The 10,137-nt window shown below is 46.8% G+C and overlaps 2 annotated features.

Moving 5' to 3' along the window:
* Positions 2,686-2,815: an enhancer, noted in NCBI's record as "active region_15330". NCBI's record gives its function as "activates an Ori minimal core promoter by ATAC-STARR-seq in GM12878 lymphoblastoid cells {active_cell/tissue: GM12878}" and the evidence as "EXISTENCE:reporter gene assay evidence [ECO:0000049][PMID:35858748]".
* Positions 4,985-5,279: a silencer, noted in NCBI's record as "tiled region #12680; K562 Repressive DNase matched - State 6:EnhF". NCBI's record gives its function as "represses a minimal TATA promoter and a strong SV40 promoter by Sharpr-MPRA in K562 cells {active_cell/tissue: K562}" and the evidence as "EXISTENCE:reporter gene assay evidence [ECO:0000049][PMID:27701403]".

Here is a 10,137-nt window from a genome sequence, read left to right as displayed (position 1 = left end):
GCTGAGGCGGGCGGATCACGAGGTTAGGAGATCGAAACCATCCTGGCTAACATGGTGAAACCTCATCTCTACTAAAAATACAAAAAATTAGCCGGGCGTGGTGGTGGGCGCCTGTAGTCCTAGCTACTCGGGAGGCTGAGGCAGGAGAATGGCGTGAACCCAGGAGGCGGAGCTTGCAGTGAGCCGAGATCGCGCCACTGCACTCCAGCCTGGGCGACAGAGTGAGACTCCATCTCAAAAAAGAAAAAAATATTGAAAGGAGGATGGATGGATGGATGGATGGATGGATGGATGGATGGACGGACAGACAGCCAGCCAGATGGGCACTGAGACCTACCTAGCACTTCCTGCCCTGGCCTCCTCACCACCTTTACTCTCTCTGAATAGAGATATCCAGAGAGAGTACCTCACCACCTTTACTCTCTCTGGCCCATAGGATACAGGAAAGATCCCAGAGAGAAGACCCAGTTTCCTCTCCACACCTGGAGGGCCAGCCCTAAGGCTGAGCCATCTCAGCTCTCTGAGCTTAGCAAAAGGATTGCCTTCCTTTTGACCTCTCTGCTCAGTGTTGGAAAAGTATCCACAGAGCAAATGCTGCCCGCTGTCCCTTCAGAGAAGTCCAGACCTGATCCTCATGCTTTTGTGTATGCCCTGGTTTAGGGGTGTGAAAGGAATGTAAGAAGGAGAGGAAGATGCCACCAGATCCTACTCCTCCCAGGTTTCCCTGAGCTACACTGGCAGATCCATTAACCTGATATTTTAACTTCTTGCCTCCCTTTACTGAACAACTAGATGTTCCTTGTATATTCACTCTTCACAGTAATTCACTGAAGTTGGTTTTCATTGTCCCACTTCACTGAGAAGTTAAGTGATTTGCTTCAGGTCACTGTTACAGAATGGTAGAGCTGTCACTCAGAGCCAATCTTGCAAAGTCGAGGCATGGAAATAAAAAGTTCTTCTAGTCCAACAAACATGAGTTGAAATCCACATCCAACCACTTGCTTAGCCCTGTGACCAGGCCATGCTAAAGCAGAGATGAGTGTGACCAAAACCAGCAGACACAATGACATCCACAGCCTTTCAAACTTGTCCTGGCACAACGTGTCTCATGAAAGCTCAAACTTTGGTGGCTTGCATTTTTCCTTTTTAAAATACTTATAGAAGCAACTGACAAGGCAGACTTTAAATCTAAACACAGTAATAAAAATTACCGATCTTCCCAATTGCATGTGCGTATGAATAAAATATCATAAATGACACCTTCTCCCTTGGAAGTCATGGCAGCCTGTCAGACAAAGGCTCCAGATGTGAGCCCAGGTGTTTCACTGGACACTTTCACCAGAGCCTCTCTCTGATGGCAGGTGTTGACATTTGAGGCAGATGTGGTGAAGTTGGCAGGAGCAGGCAGGATGAAGGGTCTTTGCACCATGCTCTGGGGCAATTCATACTATGGAAAGTTATTTTTAATTTGTTCCATATGAATCGTGAAAAACATAAAACATTCAGGGGGTTTATCATAATTTTCGATGAGATAAATACTGTGTGCTCATGCAATTTTTAAAAAATGGAAAATAGCTATTTAGTGCAAGAACTGCATTTTTTAAAGTTAACATAAGGAGGTGATTTCCTAAAGAGCCTTGTTGTCTGAGATGAAAGACCAGCTAAGCCATCTTAAGGATACAGATCAGATTTATCGCTTTGGTTACATCCCTTGACTAGGACAAGGCTTAAGCCATGAGCTATCCAAGCAGCAAGAGTAAATTCTGCAGAACCCAAGCATGTGCTTGACTGTGCTATGTAGCTTCAGCTTTGCTCAATCCGGGTCCTGTGGTCCCACTTACCCTGATATAACCTACTGTCTATGCAACCCTGGGCAAGTTGCTGAGTCTCTCTGAACTTTGGTTCTCCCATTACCACAATAGCTATCTCTTATGGCCGGTGAGAAGATTAAATAAAATCATAGAGCTTGTTTGGCAAACTATGACGATGTTAGCTGCTGTTGCTTTTGTAGACTGAAAAGCAGACACAGTATTTTGAGGATCCTTCCTAAACTCAGCAATGTGCAAGGAGCTGAAAAGATGTACAAGAAAAGCAGATATGGGTCCTAGCTCCAAAGTGGAAACAAAGAGAATCGTGTAAGATAACAAGTAAGTAAATTAATATTTTTATGAGACAGGTTACAAACAGCTAGAAGATTTTGGTGTGAGTGGCCACATGCATATGGCTACAGGAAAACATAGTGGGAAGGAAGGTAAGTCCCCCATGAGACATGAGCAAGGCTGAGAAGATTCACATCTCAGACACCAACCTGGCAAAGTCAGCCAGATCTAATTTAAAATATGGTCCTGGTCACATACCTGTCACCAGGCACCTCTGCAAATGTGGCTGTGATCCAGGTGAGCTAAGATTTGGAGACAGCCCAGTCTCCAGGGCAGCCCCGGCAGAGCCACCCCTGTGGACCCAGGTTCCTCATTTGCAGCACAGGCCACCATTGGCCCCTTACCCCACCCTGCACATGGGCCTCCACTAGGAGGAGCTCAGAGAGGGCAGGCAGGCAGATGATGCAGAAAGGGAACTAAGGAACTCCCCCAGAAAGAACAGCAGGTGCAACAGTGGAAAAATAGACAAAATGAGGTGGAAGGGAGCCGAGAAGGACAATGCCCATTGACCAGGTGCCAGCTGTATGTCAGGCACTGTGGTGCGTGCTTTACCATCTGTATTAGACCGCTATCACACTGCCATAAAGAACTGCCTGAGACTGCCTCACAGTTCCACATGGCTGGGGAGGCCTCAAGAAACTTACAATCGTGGCAGAAGGTGAAGGGGAAGCAAGGCACGTCTTACCATAGTGGAGCAGGAGAGAGAGAGAGAGAGAAGAGGAAAGCGCCACATTTTTAAACATCAGATCTCGTGAGAACTCACTATCACAAGAACAGCAAGGGGGAAGTGCTTTCCCATAATTTGATCACCTCCCACCAGGGCCCACCTCTGACACGTGGGAATTACAATTAGAGATGAGATTTGGGTGGGGACACAGAGCCAAACCATATTATTATTTGTTATCCCACTTAACTCTTTCAACTGGAGTTGAATATCCCTATTTTACAAATAAGGAAACGGAGGTTCATAGCAGTTATAAGGCTACCACAAGATCCCATACCTAATAAGTGGAAGAAAGATGTGAACCCAAGTCCTTAGACACCTAAGCACTGGCTCTTTGAGACTTACGGAGGAGGTGAAACTGACACAGTGCAGGTGAGTCTGAAAGTGGCACTTAGCCCATGAGGGATCTTGGCTTTGCTCAGGAAAGAATTCAAGGGCAAGCCAAAGGTAGAAGAAAATGGCTTTATTGAAGAGGTGTGTTACAGCCCCATGACTGCCCCTGCAGAGCAGAGTTAGGCGGAGAGTAGTAGCTCAGGGCAGTTTTGCAGTCATATGTATATCCACTTTTAATTGCATGCAGATTAAAGGGTGGTTTATGTAGAAATTTCTAGGGAAGGGGAAGTAACTTTTTGGTCACTGGGTCATTGCCAGGGAAAGCGGCAGTAACTCCTGGGTGTTGCCATGGCAAGGATAGACCGACATGGCACATTGGTGGGAGTGTCTGATTGAAAGCTGTTTCTACACTTGCCCTGTTTCTTGCTAATCCTCAATCTGGTCCAGTGTCCAAGCCCTGCTTCCGGAGTTGAGTCCTGCCTCCTACCTCAAAATCAGACCATAAGCTGGGGAGAAATGGCAGAGGCAGGGGCAGGGTAAGCATCCTCCACTTCTCTGCCTTTTCCTCAGCTGGGAGAAGAGGCCTAGGTTGGAGATACCTTCTTGGCCCCTTTGGAAAGGTCTTGGTGGCTTGAAGAAATGGAGCCAGAGGAATGGAAGAGCTTAAGGGTGGCTCACAGTTCCCCCAAGACAGAGCACCCCAGGGGTCCAGCCCCAAAGACCTCAGTTGTGAAGGACTGGAACTGTGGGTATGCTCTGTCCAAGAATGAAAATGAGGCATCAGATAGGGCACTTTCTGAAAGGCATGTCTGGCCCTGCCCTGGTAGCCAGGACAGGTGAGATGGATGAGGCTGGTCTCAGAGTGCCACTGGGGAGAAGGAGGGCCAGGAGCCTGGGTCTAGCAGCTGAGAAGGACATTACCCTTTAGGGTATCCAGCCAGACCAAATATGGGAAGAGGCTGGGCATGGTGGCTCACGCCTGTAATACTAGCACTCTGGGAGGCCGAGGCAGGTGGATCACTTGAGGTCAGGAGTTCAAGACCAGCCTGGCCAACATGGTGAAACCCCACCTCTACTAAAAGTACAAAAATTAGCCAAGTGTGGTGATGAGCATCTGTAGCCCCAACTACTTGGGGGGCTGAGACAGAACTGCTTGAACCCAGGAGGCGAAGATTGCAGTGAGCCAAGATCATGGCACTGCACTCCAGCCTGAGGGACAGAGCAAGACTCTGTCAAAAAAAAAAAAAAAAAAAGTAAAAAAACTGAAATCGCAAGTCAAAAAATCCAGGAACCCACATGTATGGAGTGGGCAGGCCTACAGCAAGCCCCAGGATCGACTTGCTCCATCTCCCTCCAAGATCAAAGCCAAGTCGTTTCAAATAATACATTTACACTAGTGCAAACTTGAAAAAATAGAATAGAATTCAAAAATCTGCATAGATTTTTAAAACACAACACAAGACTCCAAAGAAATTTCACCAAAACTCCAGCCACTGGGCTGTGCAATGGGAATTTTCCAAAATGAAATTCGAGGAAACAAGGAGATAGCGACACGAGGGAGAGCAACGCGGCCAGGACTCAGGGGAAGACCGGGCTGTGGAGTTCCGTCCCGTTAGATAAGGGGATCCAGGAAGCCAAATGGGTGAGCCCTGGACTGCAGCTGAGGGTCCACTTACACAAATTTGGAATATGCTGTCAAAGCAAAAGACAACTCCTGCCCATCCAGGGGTTGAACACCAACAGAAATTGTCCAACCGAGTGAGTGTTTAAACTGTAAAGGGCTCCAGGACAGAAGGAATCACCATCCTTGCCAGACAGCCGTAGCCTGAGCGGCCTTCCCTGTCTCCTGAGTGGGCCTCTCCTCCTGACCACGCCCACCTCCTCTGTAGCTCCACCCATCTTTCTAGGCAGCCCCAGACACATACCTGTCTCCGCTCCAAGCCTTGGGGCTGCCACTGCGATCTGCCTCCCTCATCTCCTGGTGCGTGAGTTGCAGATGTGAGCAACTGCAACTCATATCTATATGGTCTATATGGAGCTGCTGTTTGCTCCCTTTGGCTGCTGTTTCTTGGACCCACAGTCCAGACCTGTGGACAACTCTTCACCGCTCTCCAGGCTCCGCTCTGGCTCAGCCTCCTCTGCTACTCAGGCTGCCCTGGGAAAGATGGTCCACAGCGCCATGGAGCTGGCATGGAAGGGGTGCAGGGGGCGCAGCAAGGGTACCTGTTGTGAGCTGAATTGTGTCCCCCCAAAACTCCTATGTTGAAGTCCTAATCCCCCTCCCTGTGTAGCTCAGCATGTGCCATTATTTGGAAATAGGGCAGTAAGTGGTTAAGACAAGGTCATGCTGAAGAAGGATGGGTCCTAACCTACTATGACTGGTGTCCTCGTGGAAAGGGGAAGCTGGGAGACAGATGTGCACACAGGGAGGAGCCATGTGAAGATGGAGACAGATTTGGGTGATGCTTCTGTAGGCCAAGAACAAAGCCCCACAAGCTGGGAGAGAGGCCTGCAACAGTCTCCCTCACAGCCCCAGAAAAAACCCAACCCCGCCCACAGCTTTGTTACAGGAAAGGGGTCCCAATCCAGACCCCAAGAGAGGGTTCTTGGATCTCACACAAGAAAGAATTCAGGGCGAGTCCGTAAAGTGAAAGCAAGTTTATTAGGAAAGTAAAGGAATAAAGAATGGCTACTCCATAGGCAAAGCAGCCCTGAGGGCTACTGGTTGCACATTTTTATGGTTATTTCTTGATTATATGCTAAACAAGGAGTGGATTATTCATGCCTCCTTTTTGTTAGACCATAAAGGGTAACTTCCTGAGGCTGCCACGGCATTTCTAAACTGCCACGGCGCTGGTGGGAGTGTAGCAGTGAGGATGACCAGAGGTCACTCTCGTGGCCATCTTGGTTTTGGTGGGTTTTAGCTGGCTCCTTTACTGCAGCCTGTTTTATCAGCAAGGTCTTTATGACCTGTATCATGTGCTGACCTCCTATCTCATCCTGTGACTTAGAATGCCTAACCATCTGGGAATGCAGCCCAGTAGGTCTCAGCCTTATTTTACCCAGCCCCTACTCAAGATGGAGTCGCTCTTGTTCAAATCCCTCTGACAGTTTGAGCTCTGATTTCTGGCCTCCAGAACCTTCTGCTGTTTAACATCCTCAGTGGATGCTACTTTGTTATAGCAGCCCTAACAAACTAATACAGAACCCAGCCTCTCGCCCCAGGGTCAAAGAGGGCTTCTGCAAGTAGTGTGGCCTGAGCCAAGTCTTAAAGAATGGAAAAGAGAATTCCTGGTAGAGAAGGAGGAGAATAGAAGTTGTTCTAGGCAGAGGAAAGAAGCTGAAGCAGGAAGATTGTTCCCAATTAACCACGAGGAGCTTCTGAAAGTTGCTAACCACTGGAGAGAAAGCAGGATCTGCCAGCGTCGGCTCATCCATGGCAAGAGCTAGGAGTTGGAAATGCTCTCGAAGATGCAGTCCAAATCTCTCATCTTACAAATAGGAAAATTAAGGGAAAGGGAGGGGAAATAAGCCACCCAGGGTCACACAGGGGTTATAGCCCAACAGAACTAGAATCCAGCTGTCCTGATATTCGGCTCTGTAGACACCACACTGATTTCTGCCCAGGACGTGACTGATGTAAAATGAGCTATGATTGAAAGCAGGTTTCTGTTTTAAACAAGGCTCATTTAAAACAAAAGTAAGCCTCATTTACCCATTGCTTTTGTTGGTATCTATACAAATACTTTGTTTTCCATGTAATCAGTATTGCATAAACTTGGTCTATATGGAAAGACACATAGGAGAGACAGCAGCACCCAGGGCAGACGGGGGACATTGTCGCCTGAGTAAAGTGATGGTTTTTCAATCAGGGGTTCTCACCAGCAAAATTGTTCGTACCTTCCTAAGGACATTCTGTCCTAGACCAGATGAGGAACAGCATCATATACTCCCAGCCCGCATGCCTGATGACTTTAACACGTTCATTGTTCTGCTCAGATGAAGGCTGTTGGGTGACTCACTCCTCCCTTAGTCAGAAACTCTAACCAGATTTAAGAAGAAATTTTGCTGTAAAAGTCATCAGGTGGTTGGACAGGAGCGGCATCTAATCCCACTGCGGGTTCACTGGGCTCTCTCACTGGGAGGTGATGGGCCCCAGGCTGGGCAAGGTGGAGTCAGGCCAGCCAGGAGACCCCAGCCTTCCAGGGACAGACCTCTCCTCCAAACACCAATAGGAAGAATTCAGCCCTCACTGTGATATTCTCACCCCAGTTTCTCCTTTCACAGGCTACATGATACAGGACAGGTCCCAGCCTCTCTGGGATTCAGTTACTTCATGAAATCCAGCTTACCTACTTCACTTGGATGAAGACAGAGTACTGGTTGGATAAATTTTAGATATCTTCCACACTAGAAGGCTGTAAAGTGCTCAATTGGAAATGGAAATATCAGGATTAACGATCAAATAGGCTTGAGTTTGGGAGGCACTGACATGAGCTCCCTTGATTCCCCTTCTCGCTACCCTTCTTTGCGACCCTCCCCTTCTCTCTTCTTGTGCTTCAAAACTAACCCCTCACTCCACAAAAGGGAAGAGGACAGACAAATGTCCCTCCGGCCCTGGCCCTGGCCCATGGTTCTGGACTAAACCCTTTATGCAGTACACACCACCTTATTTAACTCTCATAACCCTGGGAGGGGCTACAATTGTGCCCATTTTATATATTTGGAAACAGAGGCTCATAGAGGTGCAACGACTTGAGGCTTGTGTCTTGATCTCCAAATATGCCCGTCTACTTTGACATTGCATCACAGTACCAAGCTGTACTTGGGTTCCTCAAACTACCCCTTTCTGCCCTTCAGGCATCAGGCTCCAGCCCCATCCCAGCTCCTGCTGGCCGATACTGTTTCCATCTTCCCCATTTCACCACCTCTCCCCCTTCCCCTGTCCCTGTGGCCTCTCTCCCTCACCACACACACTCTCCCTAACACTTGTCCTCCCAGCCTTTCTGCTTCTGCACAAAATATTTTGTTTTTCAATGTAATCAGCATAACATAAACTTGGCCTATATGGAGAGACACATAGGAGAGGCCGCAGTGCCTGGTGCAGACAGGGGACATTGTCAACTGAGTTAAAGCATGGTTTTTTTCTTCTTTTTTTTTTTTTTTGTTGGATACAGGGTCTCATCCAGGCTGAAGTGTAGTGGTGCAATCTCAGCTCACTGCTCTGCCACCTCCCGGGTTCAGGGATTCTCCTGCCTCAGCCTCCTGAGTAGCTGGGATTACAGGAATGCACCACAAGATCTGGCTAATTTTTGTATTTTTAGTAGAGACAAGGTCTCACTATGTTGGCCAGGCTCATCTTGAACTCCTGGCCTCAATTGATCTGCCCGCCTCGGCCTCCCAAAGTGCTGGGATTAGAGGCATGAGCCACCGCGCTCGGCCTAAAGTGATGGTTTTTCTATCAGGAGGTCTCAGTGTCCTCTTGATAGCCCAATCCAATGACCTTTCCCCCTGCCAGTGGCTTCACACCATCAACAAATTACCCAAGACGGTTCCCCCTATCCTTCTGATCCCTCCTCCTCTGCCTCTTTTATTCTCTAGTACGGGGGAAGTCATGACTTCGAGTTCATACTCAGTCAGCTACTTCCAAGCCTCACTGATTTTTTTTCTCCTGATTTCTCTGATTCTGCCTATTCCCTGCCAGAACAATTCATATTTCCCCATCAACTACTGCCCTGTTGGAAATCACGCCACAGTGAAGCTATGCACCAGACATGGGCGGAGAGGTGCAATTATTTTGTGGAATCATCACAATATGCTTACAAAGGAAAATAAAAATCAGGTCATCTTGCTTTCTTAAGAATGCTGATCTAAATGCAAAATTCAGATGCCACAGAATCATACTGTTTATTCAGATGGATGCCAAGGAAAAAGCTGAACGCGTCCTAATTCAGGATAATTTAAGTGTTCGCCTTTCAATGGTTTGGAATATTTACAGTATTTAACAAAGGATAAATTAATATATTTGAGTAGGAGAGATAGGAGGGAGGTGCTTAGGCTCTAAATTTTGAATATGATGCTAACACAATAGTGTGACATCTTGAAAAGAGAAGATTCTATATCTCAAACTGTTAAGGATATTGTAAGATCCACCTTCTGGTTCTGACCACTCTAGACTTTAAAAGTACCCACTCTTTCTTCTCAAGTCCTCCTAAATAAATGTTTAAAAAAAAAAAAAAAGAATTAGCCAGAAATACGACTTGAACTTTGAATTTGTCATAGCCAGAGCATAAACAGCTAACCATAAAGAATGGAAGGAGAGGCAGCCAGATGGTGATAGACTTACATTACAATTAAAGGACAAACCAAGGCATCATAAACAGAAAGGCTGAGTCCAAATTAACAGAGGGAGAAATCAGTCCTATTGAAAAGTCACAGTCCTGAATAATACCTCTAATAATATACTTCTTACATAGTAAGAGTCATGAGAGTGTTGTCCAAAATTTGAAGAGTTCAGATCATTTCCTCAGCTTCTGTTTCATGATTTCTAAGAGGAGGGTAATAATGGCATCGCAGGATTGTTGAAAGAATTAGATGATTATATAGGGACTGTCTCAGTGCTTGGCACGTACTAAGCGTTCCATCATCTCATTCTTATTGTCCATTTGATTGAGGGAGCAAAGCCATTAATTGAGGGCCCATTGTACATTCAGGGACTCTGCAAGGTGCTACATAAAGGAGGATGTTTATGCAACCTAGGAGATATTTGACATGAAATGGTTTAAAAGCAATATTCTTCCTAACTCCCAGCTGTTGCAGCCATGATTACTTTTAATAGTGTGATACCGAAATTGTCTTGGTATCTACATTTCTATCTGACAGTGAAATCTGTTTTCAGCTCAGATACCAATAAAGAAGTGA

This window comes from Homo sapiens, chromosome 2, assembly GCF_000001405.40.
Source record: "Homo sapiens chromosome 2, GRCh38.p14 Primary Assembly".
Taxonomy (NCBI): domain Eukaryota; kingdom Metazoa; phylum Chordata; class Mammalia; order Primates; family Hominidae; genus Homo; species Homo sapiens.
The sequence above is the reverse complement of the archived record's forward strand: the minus strand, read 5'-3'. Positions and strand labels throughout refer to the sequence as shown.